General features: G+C 37.3%; 2 protein-coding genes across 14 annotated transcripts in view; one reads left to right on the top strand and one right to left on the bottom strand.

The window, feature by feature from the left end:
• ABCB4 (ATP binding cassette subfamily B member 4) overlaps window positions 1-19,726 on the top strand; it is a 110,132-nt gene that overhangs the window by 75,621 nt on the left and 14,785 nt on the right. For 9 of the 11 annotated variants that reach the window (XR_007060047.1, XR_007060046.1, XR_007060050.1 and 6 more), the window contains one exon: window positions 10,253-10,394. The exons of the other annotated variants lie outside the window; for them this stretch is intronic. The gene's annotated coding sequence lies outside the window, so the exon portion shown is untranslated. The remainder of the gene's footprint in view (window positions 1-10,252; window positions 10,395-19,726) is intronic. 11 annotated transcript variants of the gene reach the window in all.
• The window catches only part of CROT (carnitine O-octanoyltransferase), a 54,131-nt gene continuing 35,017 nt past the window's right edge, over window positions 613-19,726 (bottom strand). For 2 of the 3 annotated variants that reach the window (NM_001143935.2, NM_021151.4), the window contains 8 exons: window positions 18,414-18,497; window positions 18,226-18,333; window positions 17,864-17,994; window positions 8,695-8,818; window positions 7,763-7,841; window positions 7,584-7,677; window positions 7,340-7,459; window positions 613-1,883 (listed from right to left, as the gene is read on the bottom strand). In NM_001143935.2, coding sequence (NP_001137407.1) covers window positions 1,763-1,883; window positions 7,340-7,459; window positions 7,584-7,677; window positions 7,763-7,841; window positions 8,695-8,818; window positions 17,864-17,994; window positions 18,226-18,333; window positions 18,414-18,497 — 861 coding nt within the window. In that variant the 3' untranslated portion in view covers window positions 613-1,762. Of the gene's footprint in view, window positions 1,884-1,932; window positions 4,492-7,339; window positions 7,460-7,583; window positions 7,678-7,762; window positions 7,842-8,694; window positions 8,819-17,863; window positions 17,995-18,225; window positions 18,334-18,413; window positions 18,498-19,726 lie in introns of those variants that run through there. The other variant, XM_011516337.4, reaches the window with a different exon arrangement.

Genomic DNA, 19,726 nt, shown 5'->3' with positions numbered 1-19,726 from the left:
AAACCAGTCTTATCAAATTCAGAGCGTACATGTTTCTTAAAAGGGATGTATAGAATCAGTACCCTGAGTATGATGTAATCTTTACATATATTAAAATGTCTGGCAGATTGCTATAGTACCCATAATCATGCCCTCTGTGCCCACTCTTTTACAAAGTGACTTTCTCTTATCAAGATATTACTTTTTCCCCACTCCTTGAATCTGGACTTCTCTTGTGACTTGGTTTAATCAACAAAATGCAGCCAGGTGATGGCATGTGACTTCAGGGCCTAGGCCTCAAGGGACCTTCACCTCTCAGAACACTCTCACTACCAAGTAAGGAAGCTCAATTCTGAATACTAGATGATCAGAGACCATGTCAGGAGAGACAGTCCCAGCCACCAAATTTACAGATAGTTGGTGAGGTGATCTTAAACTTTCCAGCCTCAGTCCTGGTTGCCTGATGATTATAGCTGTACAAATAAACACAGGCAAGATGAGCAGAAGAACTGTCTAGCTGTTATCAATCAACTGACAAAGTAATGAGAAACAATAAACTGATTCAAGACACTAAGTTTTGGATGGTTAATTACACAGCAATATATAACTGAGGTCAAAAAGCACCAGAAAAGCAAACAGGAATGAATCATTTATTCAAACAAAACAAAAAGCTATATAATTTTGAGAATTTCATTTTTTGAGAGTAAAAACTACAAAATTGAACAGCGAGGAGGAAAAAATTCTGACAATGTGATTCAACATTAATCCTTTAAAAGTCACTGTAACAAATTTAAACATAAGTGCTTTATTTTTCTATTCACAAAACTAATTATAATACACCACAATGAATTTTGTTACGGTTTTATGTGTGTAATAGAGGGTATACATCTCCATACTACTAGCTAATTTGTCTGTTTGTTCAAAAGAGTTATTTTTCTCTTTTTTTCTTCTTTGAGACAGGGTCTCACGCTCTTGCCCAGGCTATAGCATAAGGGCACATCACAGCTCACTGCAGCCACAACCTCCTGGGCTCAACCGATCCTCCTGTCTCAGCCTTCAAGTAGCTTGGACTACAGGCACACATGCACCACCATACCCGGCTAAGTTTTTGATCTTGTAGAGACAGGACCTTACCCTGTTGCCCAGGCTGGTCTCAAACTCCTAGCTTCAAGCAATCCTCCTACCTTGGCCTCCCAAAGTGCTAAGATTATAGGCATGAGCCACTGCACCCAGCCCAAAAAAGTTATTTTAGATCACCATTAGATTGTAGTGGTCTTTCCCATCAAACATAACAGGCTTGTATCCCTGTGGTGAACATAGAAGGCATTGATTTCAGGGAAATTAGCATACAATAATGTAATTCATACCCTTTGGCAGCTAAAAAAATTAAAGTGCTTGAAAGATGGACTCTACATTGATGTCCAGAGAGAGGATTTATAACCCATGTAAGTACCAACAAAAATACTTAAAAATTAGAGTAAGACTTGCATTGTTAAAGTTTGTAGATTTGGATTGTTGAGGCTTAAATACTGCATAGTTCTATATTCACTATGTCATAATTTGCATTGCTGCTGCATCAGAGGAGCTTAAAAATATTTCTACCTTCTATGGCAGAATAAATTTAGAGAGCATGATTCTACTAATTTCTACATTTAACAAGTTTTCTTAACTTGTTAAAGGAATGTTAGCAAGTCAACATTCCTTCCCATCTCATATTACCAACTCACTCCCAGCACTCAGTTTAATGATATGTTTTGGTAAGTGCTTAATAGATGATTCATCTCTAAAGATGAGTAGAGTTCATCAGCTGTATCATATCATGAAAAGCACAAAAAGTCAGCTGAACTAGCTTTTCCGCATCAGTCTCGGGACAGGATTTCCAGGCTGAACAGGCCACAACAAACCTGTGAAGCATAAATAATGATTAATGATTACACAAAAGGCTCCAAATAGTGATGGTGAATACAACCAGGACTTTATTTCATCTGGATATTCATACATGAAATGTGAAGTCTTGCTGACATTAGGTAAATGTAACCTGACACAATTGAAGGTAAAGCCATATCTGTAGATAATGCTAAGAAACACCTCATTCATTAGATGACTAGCACCTAGGGACAAAGGGGAACAAATTAGCTAGAGCCCTAGAGTGCTCTGAAGCTAGGTCTTACTGCGTTTAAAACAGAACAAAAAACCTCCTTCCTAGAAAAGTCCTTCCTAAAGTGCTACTGGAATGAGTTGGAATATGAATTCATGCTACAGTTTTTAATGAAATTTAAACTGTTTTTAAAGAGTACTTGAAGAAAGTTTGAAAAAAAAAAAAAGGCAGAGAAGGATGATAGGTGAGAAAGGCTATTTCTAGGAGTCAAAAAGAGAAACTCTTGGGATCAAGTCATGCCTTCCACCATCTTTCTCGAGATACTCCTAATAAGAAATCCCAGATCTGGCAAGTGAGAAAAGTGGCCCTGGGAAGCTGAAATAAATAGGAGAGAAGCCTGACTTAGAGCTAGTCTTCCACTTTACAGACAGAAGTTTCTATAGCGAAATATGAATTAGGCTCAAAATTAAAATGTGCAATGTAATGCTTCTGGAAAACCATGCAATTTTCACATCACTTAAAAAAAGAGTAAATTATGTCTTCAACATGTGCTTTAAGTTAAACAAAGAGAAATAAAAATAAGAACATGCTCTAGCCCAGTATATAATGATGAAACCAATGTCTGAGTGGATTATATTTGCAGAAAAGTAATACAGAAACCTTTAGGAAGTCCTGCCTTGTTTTCACCTCGTGATTCATGATCACGAATCATTCTCCAGCTACACTTGGCATGGAATTCCCAGATATTTAGCAGCATCTAAACATGTTTCTCTCCACAGATTAACCATTCTTATTCAAGTGTCAATTTTTTAAAAAAATTTCAGTTATCTTTCTAAAGAACAGCCTTTCCTACATGTACAGACAATTCATGAAAGAAACACAATGCCAAAAACAATGAAAACATGTTTTACTTCATAGGTAAACAAGTAATTTATGTTATTTTTTGCCTGTCAAATGAGTAAATACTTTTTTTTTTTTTGAGAAAGAGTCTCACTCTGTTGCCCAGACTGGAGTGCAGTGGCATGATCTCAGCTCACTGCAACCTCCATCTCCCAGTGTGAAGCAATTCTCGTGCCTCAGGTTCCCAAGTAACTCAGACTACAGGTGTGTGCTACCACACCAGCTAATTTTTGTATTTTTAGTAGAAATGGGGTTTCACCATGTTGGCCAGACTGGTCTTGAACTCCTGGCCTCAAGTGATCTAGTGTAATCCCTCCCAAAGTGCTGGGATTACAGGCGTGAGCCACCATGCCTAGCCTACAGAATTTTTATAATAACTAGAGTTGGCAATGGTGTGATGAAATGAGAAAGGATACGTTTATAACCTTATACATTATTTGTAATGATGGAAAAACAAAATAGTAGAGAAGCAGTTAGATAAATCATAGGAATCCTAAGACTGGAAATTATACAACCATCAAAATATCTCAAAGCATACTTAATAGCATTGTAAACTGCTTGAAATAATAAGCAAGAATGAAATTCACAAAAAAGGACACAAATATTTACAGTGTAAATATACAGTCTACATACATTATAGGTTGGGAGCATCATATAATTATAGTCTTATGCCATGTAATGGAAATGTAGATAACTTTGTTCTTATGTAGTTTTTATATTTAACAACTTTTTTTTTTTTACAATCAGCATGTAATACATTTAAAATGCAGTGGTCTAGTCTTGGGGTAGAAGAGATGAAAGAAGAGGCAGGGGAGGCTGGCACACTCAGTGTAACTTTATGTAAATACATTGTAATTTCTATCTTTTTGCTTTTTCATTTCTCTAAAAATGTTTCTATACTGTACCAACCCTTGCCCCACTTGCTTTAGTTTCAATGCTCCTATCATAGAAGGGTCCAGTGCATGTCATAAAAGCCATCAAAAACAGTCTTGAATAATCAGAACGCTTCTGTGAGATTATCTAACATCAGTTCTGGCACTGCTTCTACTATGTCTTCCTCCTCGTCATTTGGCTCTGGTTCAGAAGCACTCATCTCCTTCAAGTCACCTTCTGTTAATTCCTCTGGTGTGGTGACTATTAGTGCGTGATTTTTCAAATTTTTTAATAGAGATGAGGTCTTACTATATTGCTCAGGATGGTCTCAAACTCCTGGCCTCAAGCAATCTTCCCACCTTGGCCTTCCAAACTGCTGGAAACACAGGCATGAGCCACTGAAACTGGCCCAACATCCATACCTTGAAATCCTTCACCCTCCACTTTTTTTTGCCATATCGACAATCTCTTTCATGATTTCCTAGACTGGCTCTGTCGTAAATCCTGTGAAATCATGTACATCTGGACATAGTTTTCTCTAGTAGAAATTTATTGTTTTGGGCTTGACTGCTTTCATGACTTCTTCTTAACAACAATGGCATCTTCAATGGTGTAATCCTTCCAGACTTTCATGATGTTCTCTTCCATTGGGGTAAAAGACAATCCTTGGTGACAATCCTTTCTATTGAGTCCTGCATGTAATGAGCCTTAAAGGTCCTTATAACCCCCGATCTAGAGCCTGAATTAGAGACATGTCTGGGGGCAAGTAGACCATTTTGACACCTTGGGTGTTTAAATCATGGGGTTCTGGGTGGCCAGGGTCACTGTCCAAAATCAAAACAACTTTAAAAGGCTAGGTACTTCCTGACTTCAGTGACAAAACATCAAAGAAACCAGTCCAGAAAAAAAGGTTATCATTGGTCCAGGCCTTCTTGTAAACTAGCAGCTGATGTTTATCTTTTCCCTTCAAGGCTCAAAGTTAACAGCTTTACAGACAAAGGCAGTCCTGATCATAAACCCTACTGCATTTGCACAAAACAGTAGTGTTGGCCTATCCCTTTCTGCCTTAAAGCCTGATGCTTGCTTCTTGTGATGGTTAATACTGAGTGTCAACTTGGTTTGATTGAAGGATGCAAAGTATTGATCCTGGGTGTGTCTGAGACAGTGTTGCCAAAGGAGATTAACATTTGAGTCAGTGGGCTGGGAAAGTCAGACCCACCGTTAATCTGGGAGGGCACCATCTAATCAGCTGCCAGCACAGCCAGAATATAAAGCAGGCAGAAAAACCTGAAAAGACTAGACTGGCTTAGCCTCCCAGCCTACATCTTTCTCCTGTGCTAGATGCTTCCTGGCCTTGAACGTTGGACTCTAACTTCTTCAGCTGTGGGACTCAAACTGGCTTTCTTGCCCCTCAGCTTGCAGCTGGCCTATTGTGGGACCTTGTGATCGTGTGAGTTAATGCTTCTTACATACTTCTTAAATATCCTATTAGTTCTGTCCCTGTAGAGAACCCTGACTAATACACTTCTCTTCCTTACTAACAAATGTCCTTTGTGGCATTTTTTTTTTCAGAATAGGGCACATTTGTCTGCATTAAAAATCTGTTCAGGCAGATATCCTTTGTCCTCAGTGATTTTCTTGATGGTGTCTGGGAACTTGTCTGCTGCCTCTACTTCTCCTGTTATCTTGACATTTTTAAAGCCAAACCTCTTTCTAAAATTATCAAACTATCCTTTGCTGGCATTAAATTCTCCAGCTTCAGATCCTTCACCTTCCTGTAAAGTTGTCATATAATAACTTCGCTTTTTCTAGAATCATAGTAGAGTCTATAGGTATGCCTTTTTATAGCAAGAAAGGCATTTTTTTTGCTATAAAAAATATAGCACCCACCAAAAAGCTGCATTTTTAATTGGAGATCAAAAGGCATTTTGCAAACGGCAAAGTTTTAATGCCTGCCAGTGTAGCTGCAGCAATAGCTTCACAAATTTCCTTTTTTTTTTTAAATAGTACTTATACTAGATTTATTTATGTTGAAATGATGGGCAAATGCAGCTACAGATCTCAATCTATGATACTTATCAAGCAAATCAACTCTTTCTTGTAATGTCATGACTTTTCTCTGCTTCTTGGGAGCACTTGCAGTATCACTAGAAGCACTACATGTGGGTCCCATGGTATTATTCAATGTTTACAATACTGTACTACCCACAATGAAAAATACATGAGAATAAACCACGAAAGATCACTTTTTGTGATCTGCTAAAGAGACAAACTGCTTCTGCAGAGATGATTAGCATTATGTGACATCTTAAGGAGATACTTGCAACTCTTTAGCTCACCACAGTAGCAACATGAGGTAGCTACAAAATTATTATAGTAGTACAGTGTGTACCACAGTTAATTTAATGCAATTATGATTGAAAACTGCATCTTTACATTTGTTTACATTTCTCTTGACTGCAAATGGCACCATATAAAGTCTGTAAGGGCTTATGTTCATATATTTTGATAAATTTCAACTTTGTATAGTAGATTTGTGTATATTTTATGGTAGTAAATGATGAAATAGACTAGTATCTGTATATATTTTATGCATTCATGAATACTTTAGTTTTTGAATATTTCTACACTACACAGTTTTGAGTTTTTTCAAATTGTCTCAATCTCCAAAAAATTTTCTCATTTATTTAAAATCTGCATGTAAGTGTGCCCATGCAGTTCAAACCCATGTTGTTCAAGGGTCAGTTGTATTAGAAACTGAAATATGTCATGCATATTACTATTCCAATTTTTCACATTCTATCTGAAGTGCCTCCAAGCCTGCCCTCTTCTTATTCACATAGTGCTAAATGTAGTCACGTAATTTTTATGAAGCCAACTATGCTTTGAAAAGCCCCTGTAAAGAGACTGCCAGACTGTAGATAAGGACCTTACAAGCCTTGCTATCACTTTCATTTTATCTTGTTCTCCACTACTCTTTTTTATACCAGGTTTTGATCTTTTCTTTCTCATTCTTTCCATAAACATAAGTCAAACTCCACACAGCCCAAGTGAACTGCATCTGAATTGGTAAAACTGTTTTAAAAAGTATAATTTACCCAATCTCTTTTCTCTATCTCATTAATATTGTCTATGACTACATGAACCACCATATATTTAAACATTTTATCTGAGCTTATTATAAAATACCTTGTACAAACCAAATATGTTCATGGGTGTACTGATTTTGAGGATGATGATATGATTGCCGAATCGACTTGAAACAGTGTTCTGCATAAAGACACCTAAGGGACTAATCTGACAAGTGTCTCAAAAGCAGGACAGAGAAACATGAATATGCATTAAATGCCTAAGTGGAAAAAAATAGTTACTTATGTAGCAAGTGACAGATGGCAATATAAGAATCACAGTGTAGGAAAGGCATTTAAAAACAAAAGTAATACCTTTCCTACTCTATAGCACAGAAAGAATAAAAAAGAGAAGCCTCACCTGTCATCTCTGATATGGTAGAAAAATCCATAACCATTGTGTACCATGGGAACTACCACTCCCTGGACTCGTAAATAGCCAACCAGACTTGTTGAGAGAACAAAATTTCCACCTCCTCCGCTGTGTGGCACAATAAAAGAACATTTTACTAGGCCTACAGATGCTTATATTGTTTCTAAAAACCATTTAATATACAAAAAGAGGAAGCCAATTGATGAAGCTGTAAAACACTACACTATATTACCTTTTGGAAAAAAGTGGGTCCGTAAAGAGTTCTGGAACAGGAAGACCTTCCTCTTTTGCTATGAGTAAGAGACCTAAAAGGTGACGATCAAATCCTGCAATGAAACCCCAAATCTCAGGTTAGAAAAAAATTTTTCACCATGAGAGATTTTTAAGTCAGAAAAATTTTAACTTAAGTACCTTTTCCAGCTGAACAATCTTTCATCATTTTATTATGCTTTGCAAAAGCTTGTAACATCTTTTGCTGCCGCTCACGAAGCTGTATTAAAAATCGAGAGACACTTCAATAACACACTGTGCAAAACCCAACTAGAAAAAAATCCTAAGCTCATTGTAATTAGGATTGGGGTAATTTGGGAGAGGAAAGATTTCTAGGAAGATCTATAACACATACTCCTATATCTTTCCATCAGTTATTCTATCGCCTAGTCTTCCCTGTATATCCTGCTTCTTATTTCTTTCCTGGAATAGGAAACTATGAACTTGTGGGCAGCACTGAAGTGACACTAACAAGTATAAAGATAAAAGCAACCGATATTTCAAAAATGAAAGCATAACTAAAAATGACAATAAAGCAGTTCTATAAAATTAAGATACAGGCACTCATATATAACCACATCTAGCAAAACTAAAGAAACAAATATAATACTAAAATAACAGTGAGAAGGAAATTTGCTGTTGTCTAAATGCTTCAAAAAAAAGAGTATGAAACAAAGCATACAACTGTCCTGGTTCCACTATATGAAACAAGAATCTGTCATTTCAAAAACATTCAACCACATCAAGAAAACCTTCCTTTTAAAGGCACCTTGGGATTTCTGCACTTTGTTGGTGTTGTTCTAAAGGTAGATTAGAAGTCCTGAAATACCTAAAGTACTGAAGACCCTTTGCCTAGAAAATAACACAAATGGGATCCTTTTCCTGCCTTCCCTGTTTCCAATTACACATTTCACTGGTGAATGAACAAATGCTTTAAAAACCTCAGAAAAGATGTCTCAAAGTATTTTAATGATCCAGGAAAACTGAAGCAAAGAAGTTAGTTACTCAAAGACCACGGTTCCTTTAGAACAATTAAACAAATCTTGTGAGTTTTTTTCCTTTCCAATACTCACATTGACAGAAGGATCCTGCATGGACTGGCACCACCTCACTGCTTCAACTGTGCATGATCGCATAGTCTCTGTACGGCCATGATAAAAATGTCTTGTCATAGCTGTTTCATAGCAACAACCAGGGCTACAAGAAAAAATTAAAAGAGTGTATCATAAGAAAGAAAATGCTCTAATATCATTACAGATATAGTTGCCTAATAAAGCTAGCTTTGTTCAGAGACTAAGCCCTTTAACACAGATAGGTTGGAGACTTTCAACAAAAAAGAGCCTATTTCCAATACCAAAGAGCAAAAAATACTCTGATAATGTGGGCTGTTTCAAAGGCGTGGCTGCTGTCAGGTCATATACATTACAGCCTCTAAGATGGCCCCCGTGATTCCTGCCTCCTGCTATTTATGCTCTGCTGTAACCCCTCACTTTTGAGCGCAGGCTAGACAGTGACTTGCATCTAATGGGGAGAGTACAGCACAAGTGATGGGATATCACATCTGCAATTAGGTTACAAAGAGAGCTCTCTCTTGTTCTCTTATTTCTCATCTGAAGAAAGCCAGCTGCCATGCTGAGGGCTGCCCGATGGAGAGGCCCTAGCGGCAGAAAACTGAGGGTGACCCTCTGGACAACAGCTAGGGAGGAACTGAATGCTACTAGTTCCCGTGGGTGAGCTGAGAAGTGGACCTACCCTCAGGAGAGCAGATGAAAACAGCCTTGGCTGATACTGACTACAACCTCATGAAAAACCTTTATTAAGTCAGAGTTACTCAACTAAGCTGCATCACAAAAAATGACCCACAAAATTGTGATATAAAATTACTGACCCACAAAATATGTGATATAAAATTACTGACCCACAAAATGTGTGATATAAAAAAGTATGTGTTTTAAGCCACTACGTTTTGGGGTAATTTATTACACAGAAATAGGTAATACAGAGTCCTTGACCTTTAGTGCCTCCATATAGAACATGAAGGACTAGAATAAAGTAGAAGTATAATTTAAGAAGTTCCCCAGGGTGATATCTGTTTTCCTGGGTTGGAGAATGATATAGCAATTTTAGGTATAAAACTCTCTTACTTTCTTATTGGTTAGAATTTAGAGTCAAAGAGATCAAATAAAGTGAGAGTGAAAAGTCTCTGAATGTGGGTACTAGGAGGGCTCAAACAGTTTTCAAGCCTCTTCTGTTCAGTGTTTCTGTCTCTCTGGAGTGAAATGGTATCCCTTCAAAGTGTGAAGGAGAAAGTGTGAATAATATTTTTAAATAGCACTAAAATAACATTCTTTCAGGAAAACAAATTAAAAATAAAAGCAGTAAAAATGAGTAATAAAATATTACCACTGTAACCTCAAATGAAATAATGAACCTTAGCAATGATCTTCAATGACTACTGAAACGTTAGGTAAAAAATTCAGGGAGTAAACTTTTTATAATAGATGCTGGCTGACAAGTAAACACACTCTTAATCTTAAAAGATGGAGTAGAAAGCAAAGAGCATTAACTATTGGATTTATTATTGTAAAACATAACCAAAATAGGAACTGATGCATATTATCAATCCTCTAGCTCTAACTACCAGTTTACAAGACATACAGGAGACTGAGCAACATGTTAAATATCACCATGGGAATACAATCAGGAAAATTCAGAAAACTCTACAGGATAAATGACCCAGTTTCTTCATCAAATCAAATACAATAAGAGAAAGGTAGGAAAAAGATTCCCATATTTAAAAAAGACTTATAAGGTATATCAATCAAATGCAATGTGTAAAATTTATTTGGAACCTGATTTGAACATATCTTCTATATAAAAAAAAAATACCGCGTGAAATTTCCAATGCCAGCTATGATGAGCTAGTTTCTGGCAAGCCAGTCTTAATGCTAGGAACAACAACAAAAACTGGATTTAAAAAACATCTATTTGAAGGCTTTGCAGAATTTTTTTTATTATACTTTAAAGTTCTGGGATACATGTGCAGAATGTGCAGGTTTATTACATAGGTATACATGTGCCATGATGGTTTGCTGCACCCATCAACCCATCATCTACATTAGGCATTTCTCCTAATGCTATCCCTCCCCTAGCCCCCCACCCCATGACAGCCCCCGGTGTGTGATGTTCCCTTCCTGTGTCCATGTATTCTCATTGTTCAACTCCCACTTATGAGTGAGAACATGTGGTGTTTGGTTTTCTGTTCCTGTGTTAGTTTGTTGAGAATGATGGTTTCCAGCTTCATCCATGTCCCTGCAAAGGACATGAACTCATCCTCTTTTATGGCTGCATAGTATTCCATGGTGTATATGTGCCACATTTTCTTTATCTAGTCTATCATTGATGGGCACTTAGGTTGGTTCCAAGTCTTTGCTATTGTGAACAGGGCTGCAATATACATATGTGTGCATGTATCTTTATAGTAGAAAGATTTATAATCCTTTGGGTATATATCTAGCAATGGGATCGCTGGATCAAATGGTATTTCTGGTTCTAGATCCTTGAGGAATCGCCACACTGTCTTCTGCAATGGTTGAACTAATTTACACTCCCACCAACAGTGTAAAAGCATTCCTATTTCTCCACATCCTCTCCAGCATCTGTTGTTTCCTGACTTTTTAATGATCGCCATTCTAACTGGCATAAGATGGTATCTCATTGTGATTTTGATTTGCATTTCTCTAATGACTAGTGATGATGAGCTTTTTTTCATTTGTTTGTTGGCCACATAAATGTCTTCTTTTGAGAAGTGTCTGTTCACATCTTTTGCCCACTTTTTGATGGGGTTGTTTTTTTCTTGTAAATTTGTTTAAGTTCCTTGTAGATTCTGGATATTAGCCCTTTGTCAGGTGGTTAGATTGCAAAAATTTTCTCCCATTCTGTAGGTTGCCTGTTCACTCTGATGATAGTTTCATTTGCTGTGCAGAAGCTCTTTAGTTTAATTAGATCCCATTTGTCAATTTTGGCTTTTGTTGCCATTGATTTTGTTGTTTTAGTCATGAAGTCTTTGCCCATGCCTATGTCCTGAATGATATTGCCTAGGTTTTCTTCTAGAGTTTTTATGGGTTTAGGTCTTATGTTTAAGTCTTTAATCCATCTTGAGTTAATTTTTGTATAAGGTATAAGGAAGGGGTCCAGTTTCAGTTTTCTGCAAATGGCTAGCCAGTTTTCCCAACATCGTTTATTAAATAGGGAATCCTTTCCCCATTGCTTGTTTTTCTCAGGTTTGTTACAGATCAGATGGTTGTAGATGTGTGGTGTTATTTCTAAGGCCTCTGTTCTGTTCCATTGGTCTATATATCTGTGTTGGTACCAGTAACATGCTGTTTTGGTTACTGTAGCCTTGTAGTACAGTTTGAAGTCAGGTAGCATGATACCTCCAGTTTTTTTCTTTTTGCTTAGGATTGTTTTGGCTATACAGGCTCTTTTTTGGTTCCATATGAAATTTAAAGTAGTTTTTTTTTAATTTTCTGAAGAAAGTCAGTAGTAGCTTGATGGAGATAGCATCGAATCTATAAATTACTTGGGGCAACTGTTAGAGCAGCCAGGATATGAGGGTCAAGATCTGGAGAGAAGAGCAGCTCTTTGAAGTGAGGTACCTTGGAGTCTTGGCTCCAGGCCTGTTTCTCTGTGCAGTCTTGGAGGAAGTCCCATCTGTCTAGGGACCTGGAAGGTATCACACCCACCTGCTCCCCAGTAATAGACCCACCAAAACTGTGCATTTGACTGTGGACACAGAAGCAGCCCTTTAACCCAGCTCCAGTCCTACTCAATGGTGCCAAAGTCTTGCTCTGTCGCCCAGGCTGGAGTGCAGTGGCATGATCTTGGGTCACTGCAACCTCTACCTCCTGGGTGCAAGCAATTCTCCTATCTCAGCCTCCTGAGTAGCTGGAATTACAGGCATGCACCACAATACCCAGCTAATTTTTGTATTTTCCATAGAGATGGGGTTTTACCATGTTGGCCAGGCTAGTCTCGAACTCCTGACCTCAAGTGATCTGCCTGCCTCAGCCTCCCAAAGTGCTGGGTTTACAGGTGTGAGCCACCATGCCCAGCCTCCTTATGATTTTTCTTAACAAAAATTTCCTTTCTCTAGTTTACTTTATTGTAAGAATACAATATATAATACATATACAAAATGTGTGTTAATTGTTTATGTTATTGGTAAGACTTCTGGTCACACACTTGGATTTTCTAATGCACTGGGGGCTTGGGGACCCCTAACCTCCATGATGTTGAAGGGTCAACTGTACAAAAAAAAAAAGTATAGCTCATGTTGGAAATAAAATGAAGCAATTTTTTTAAAGCTCTAAAAATTCAAAAGAAAAAGAAAAAAGTACAGATGGGATAACTAGAAAATAAAGAGCAAGATGGTAGACTTAAACACAAATTTACTGATAATTATACTGAATTTAATTATCTAAATAACATATTTAAAGACAGATATTCTCAGACTAGATAAAAAAGCAAAACTGAGAGGAGTCATGTTACCATAATGGCAGAGTAGAAGCAATCTGGCTTCACTCTTCCCCACAGAAAACCAAAACAACTATCTAGTACCAATTATCCTCAGGAGTATCCCAGAAACCAAAATGGAGGCTGTGATGATCCCAGGGGCCAGAGAGAAGCAAAAAACTTCAAGCAGAAGGTAAGAGAAACAGACCACTCTATCCACAACACCCCGCCCTCAAGCTGCCAGGCCGCATGTGGAAAAACTCCCATGGACTCACAATACTACACTGAAAGAAGTGAGATCAAGGCAGACAGACACCCTTATCTCCATGCTGGGTTCCTTCACAGAAAAATCATTCCTGCTTCAACCTAAGGGAAGCATCTTTGCCTATAGGGTAAAAAAATCCTAAAGGCAGCCAGAGACAATGGGTAGAGATGGGGTTAGCAATCCCCAATGAACAAAACTCAGTGATCACTCTTCATCTCAGCCAAAAAAGACACCAAATCAAAGAGGTTGTTCAGCAGTGTTACGGTGTAGGAAGCACGCTCCATGAGTCCATGAGGCTATAAAGCCCTAGCCAGCCTTCCCACACAGCCAGGGTATCCTTTCGTTGCAGACACTCCAAGTCCACAACAGTAAGCAATCTGAACTTTTACAAGAGCTCCAAAAGTCAATTTTTTGACAAGATAAACAATATTGACAAATCTGTAGGTAGAATAAGGAAAAAGGAAAAGACTCAAATAAATAAATTCAGAGATGAAAGGAGATATGGTAACCAATACCACAGAAATATAAAGGATCATTAGACACTATTATGAGTAACTATATGCCAACAAATTGGAAAACCTAGAAGGAATGGATAAATTCCTGGACACATACAACCTGAGATTGAAACATAAAGACATAGAAAACCCAAACAGACCAATAACAAGTAATATGATTGAAGCAATAAAAAGTCTCCCATTAAGCAAAAGCTTAGGACCTGATGGCTTCACTGCTGAATTCTAATAAACCTTTAAAAAAAGAACTAATACCAATTATACTCAAACTATTCCAAAAAATTGAAGAGGGCAGAATATTTTCAATCTCATTCTATGAAGACAGCATTATCCTAATACCAAAACCAGAAAAGGACACAACTAAAGAAGTAAACTACAGAGCAGTATCCCAGATGAACACAGATGCAGAAATCCTCAACAAAATACTAGCAAACTGAACTCAACAGCACATTAAAAAGATCACTCACCATGATTAAGTGGGATTCAGATGGTTCAACATATGCAAATTAATAAGCATGATATATCACATCAACAGAATAAAGGACAAAAACCCTATAATCATTTCAATAGATGCTGAAAAGCATTTGATAAAATTAAACATACCTTCATGATAAAAAAAATTTTCAACAAACTCAGTAAAGAAGAAATATACATCAAAACAATAAAAGCCACATATGACAAATCCAGAGCTAACATCATACTGAACATGGAAAAATTGCAAGACTTTCCTCTAAGATCTAGAACATGACAAAGATGCCTACTTTCACCACTTTTATGCAACATAGTATTGGAAGTCCTAGCCAAAGCAATTAGAAAAGAGAATGAAATAAAGAGCACTCAAATTGCAAAGGAAAAAGTCAAATTGTCCTGTCTGCAGATGACATGATCTAATACTTAAGACACCAACAAACAGCCATTAGAGTGATAAACAAATTCAGTAAAGTTGCAAGATATAAAATCAACATATTAAAATCAGTAGCATTTCTATATGCAAAAAGCAAACAATCTGAAAAACAAATCAAGAAAGCAATCCCATTTACAATAGCTACAAAGAATATAAAATACCTAGGAATCAACTGAACCAAAAAAGTAAAAAAATCAATACAAGGAAGACTATAAGACACTGATGAAAGTGAGAGAACACCAAAAAATGGAAAGACAACCTATGTTCATTAATTAGAAGAATTAATATTGTTAAAATGTCCATCCTACCCAAAGCAATCTACATATTCAATGCAATTCCTATCAAAATACCAACAATATTCTTCACAAAAATAGGAAAAAAAAATCCAAAAATTCATATGGAACCACAAAAGACCCAGAATAGCCAATGCAATACCAGGGGAAAAAAAAAAAAGCTTGAGGTATCACATTACCAAACTTCAAAATATACCGCCAAACTATAGTAACCAAAACAGCATGTTACTGGCATAAAAACAGACATACAGACCAATGGAACAGAATAGAGAACCCAGAAATAAATCCGTGTATTTACAGGCATCTCCTTTTCAGCAAAGGAAAGGACAGGCTCTTCAATAAATGGCTCCATGAAAACTGGATATCCATATGCAGAAGAATGAAACTGGACCACTATCTCTTACCGTGTACAAAATTCAAATCAAAATGGATTAAAGGCTTAAATATAAGACCTGAAACTATAAAACTACTAAAAGAAAACATTGAGGATGCTCTGTAAGACACTGAACTGGGCAAATATTTCTTGAGTAATACCCTACAAGTATGGAAGCCAAAGCAGAAATGGACGAATGGGATCATATGAAGTTAAAAAGCTTCTGCACTGCAGAGGAAACAATCAGCAGCCCACAGAATGGGAGAAAATATCTGCAAACTATCCATCTCCCAAGAAATTAATAATCAGAATATATAAGGAACTTAAAAAACTCAATAGCAACACACAAATTTATCTGATCTAAAATGGACAAATAATCTTTTTTGTTGTTGTTAGACAGTGTCTTGCTCTGTCGCCCAGGCTGGAGTGCAGTGGCACGATCTCAGCTCACTGCAACCTCTGCCTCCCAGGTTCAAGGGATTCTCGTGCCTCAGCCTCCTGAGTAGGTAGAGGTACAGATATGTGCCCCTACATCAGGCTAATTTTTGTATTTTTAGTAGAGACAGGGTTTCGCTATGTTGGCCAGGCTGGTCTCAAACTCCTGACCTCAGGTGATCTGCCCACCTCGGCCTCCCAAATTGCTGGGACTACAGGTGTGAGCCATGCGCCCAGTGACAAATGATCTTAATAGACATTTCTCAAAAGAAGACATACAAACAGCCAACAAGTATATGAAAAATGCTCAACATCACTAATCATCGGGAAATGCAAATTAAAACTACAATGAGACATCACCTCACCCTAGTTAAAAATCACTTTTATCAAAAAGATAGGCAATAACAGATGCTAGCAAAGATGTGGAGAAAAGGGAACCCTCATACATTGTTGGTGGAAATGTAAATTAGTACAGCCACTATGGCGAACAGTCTGAAAGTGCCTCACAAAACTAAAAAAAAAAGAACTACCCTACAATCTGATGATCCCACTGCTAGGTATATATCCAAGAGAAAGGAAATCAATATATCAAAGAGATAGCCACACTCCAATGTTTATTGCAGCACTATTCACAATAGTCAAGATATAGAATCAACCTAAGTGTCCAGCAGATGTATGGATAAAGAAAATGTGGGCCGGGCGTGGTGGCTCACACCTCTAATCCCAGCACTTTGGGAGGCCAAGGCACGCAGATCACCTGAGCTCAGGAGTTAGAGACCAGCCTGGCCAACACGACGAAACCCCATCTCTACTAAAACTATAAAAATTAGCCAGGCATGGTGGCAGGCACCTGTAATCCCAGCTACTCAGGAGGCTGAGGCAGGGAGAATTGCTTGAACCCAGGAGGTAGAGGTTGCAGGGAACCAAGACCATGCCACTGCACTCCAACCTGGGCGACAGAGCAAGACTCTGACTCAAAAAAAAAAAAAAAAGTGATATACATACACAATGGAATATTACTCAGCCAAAATAAAAAAACAAAGAATGAAATCCCTTCATTTGCAGCAACATGGGTAAGGCTGGATAACTTTTTGTTAAGTGAAATAATCCAGAAATAGAAAGACAAATACTGCAGGTTCTCACCTATATATGGGAGTTAAAAAAAATTGATCTCGTGGAAGTAGACAGTAAAATGGTGGTTAACAGAGATTGGGATGAGTAGGGGGGAGAGGAGATTGAAGAGAAGTTAGCTAATGGGTATAATGGTACAGTTAGATGGAATAACTTCTAGTGTTCGATAGCACAGTAGGTTGACTATAGTTAACAATAATTTGTTGTATATTTCAAAATACCAAGAAGAGAAGACTTGGAACATTCCCCACACGAAGACGTAATAAATGGTTGAGGCAGTGGACATCCCAATTACCGTGATTTGACCATTACACATTTTATGCATGTATCAAAAAAATCACATGTACCTGATAAATATGTTCAATTATAACTTATTTATCAATGAAAAAGCAACATTGAGGGACTTCTACTTCTTCTTAGGATGTATTAAGTCACAAAATTAATGTCGCTCCTATTCTAAAAATGAGTAAAGGCTGGATAATTTATAAAATCACAACTTTTCATGAACCCATCAGAAAACTGACGTTGCAAGAAAACCAAGCGATCTGAATGCCAAAGATGACCAATCCTCTTTCAGATGAGAATAGACACGTCAAAAGTTATCAAGTGGATACTGTGATAAAGTAACAAGGAAAAACTGTGAAACCACCACAGATCAGAAATCTAATACTCTATTGATGGAAGTACAAATAGGACACAGTACCAGCTGGGAAAAAAGTGAGCAAAAATACTGAGGAGTTAGGATGAAATAGCTATAAAAAAAGATATACCCTTGGACTTCAAGACTGTGAAAATAGAAACTGAATGGTCCTTACTGTCCATGAAGTCTGTAATAGGCCAGCTGAAGTGCAAGCTGAATAAACGTATCCGGGTGAAGCATCTTGTTCTTGGTTAGCTTTTTGCCAAAAGATGTAAAGGCATAAGCCGCAATCTGTAGATCAGATGCCTAACAAGAAGAATTAAATGAGAACGGTGAAAAATCACCTAAGGAGAATACACCAAAGAGAAGCAAATTATCACCTGCATTAAAGTAATCACCAGACATAAAGAATTAAAGGTGTTAAAGGCATAATTTTAAAATGTTTTGTGCAGACATGCTTGGATGACAGCCAAATTTTTACATATGGTTGTTAAAAGAAAAAATCATTATTATTTAAGAGAAAAGTGAAAAATATACCTCCCTGAGATACTGGGCTTTAGCTTGGTTGATGTCATTTAAAACTTTCTCATCCACAATGAAAATGAGCTCTTCTGGAAGTGGTATATCTCGTACCTTCTCTGAACCCTGAAAATAGGGAAGACTTAAAAATATTTTATCTATAGAACTATTAGGAGAAAAAAGATGAAATATTTATTCAAACATACCTTCCATCTTCCTTCATTCTGAAAAATTTTCTCATCCACATAATAACTGATGTTCACCATAATCATTGCATCAAAAGGAGCATGCTAAAATGAGAACACACAAGATTTCTGAATACTTTATGTCAACTTAAAACTTGACCCAATATTTTATTTTCACTTTGTGTCCATTCTTAACAGATAATAAAGCATAGAGTCTTCAAATGCCTCACCTCTTGAGGATATGATAAGATAGAAGATTCCCTACAGTTCAGTAACTGCTATATTTTATTTTTTGGAAAAAAAGTTGTTTAAATTTGGAAGCACCTAGTAGGGCTTCTGGTGGGGCTTGGGGTCATGAGGGTGTATAAAATAACATATAAACAATCTAGATAAATTAATTGCTATTTTTACTAGAAGTCAAAGCAAGTGTATATATGCAACACGAAGATGTTCTGGAATTGTAAGAACAGGGTGGAAAAGCAGATGGGGATGGCAACCTATCTGAAAGCATTTGGGATGGGCATGAACTTCTTTAGGTAAGGACTTAGGCCACTTAGTGAATATTAGAAAGCATAACCATTTTGTGTTTTTTATACATATGAATGTCCCAATGTGATAATTCTCAGTTTAAGAAATGTGGGAAAGATAGGCTGGGTGTTACGGGGCTGTTTCAGGTTTGCCAGGTGTATTTAGAGAAAGAAATTGCAGTTAGTGAATTTTCCCATCATCTATTTTGAAGAACAAAGTTTTTGCCCGCATTTTCCCCATGTTCCTTAGATAAAAGTTACATCAGACGGTTCCTTGTGACTGTCACCACTTTACATTAGACACAGATATCATTCATGATCTGAACGTGACACTGCGAGCTTGGGAGGGAAAGAAGGGAAGTAGTATCAAGATATGGGCCCAGTTTCAGAGGAGTAATTAGGTGTCTTAAATGTCACCCTAACACTATAGCTCTGTAGCCTGTATCATGGCCCAGCGGAGCCTATAAACAGGATTTATTGTTACCAACCAGGCAACAACTACATCAGGAAAGGCTCTTGAGGGAGGTCAGTATAAGATGCCTGAGCAGTTTATCTGCCAACAACAGCACACATGACAAGACTCACAGGTCGCTGACAAACCCATTTTCTAACAGTATCTCACAACTGTGTGGTACTTTACAATTTTACAAAGAATTTTCAGATATTATCAAATATATTGTTTCATTTAAGACAAACAGCATCAGTTTCCAACTATTTTACTGGAGCCAGTAGGAAATAGCAAGAGTGAAGGATGTCTCTTTGAGCTATAATTCTAAGCACCCATCTCCTAATGGAAAGCTAATAATC

This window comes from Homo sapiens, chromosome 7 (assembly GCF_000001405.40).
Source record: "Homo sapiens chromosome 7, GRCh38.p14 Primary Assembly".
Taxonomy (NCBI): Eukaryota; Metazoa; Chordata; class Mammalia; order Primates; family Hominidae; genus Homo; species Homo sapiens.
Note: the sequence above shows the minus strand (reverse complement) of the source record. Positions and strands in the feature narration are given on the sequence as shown.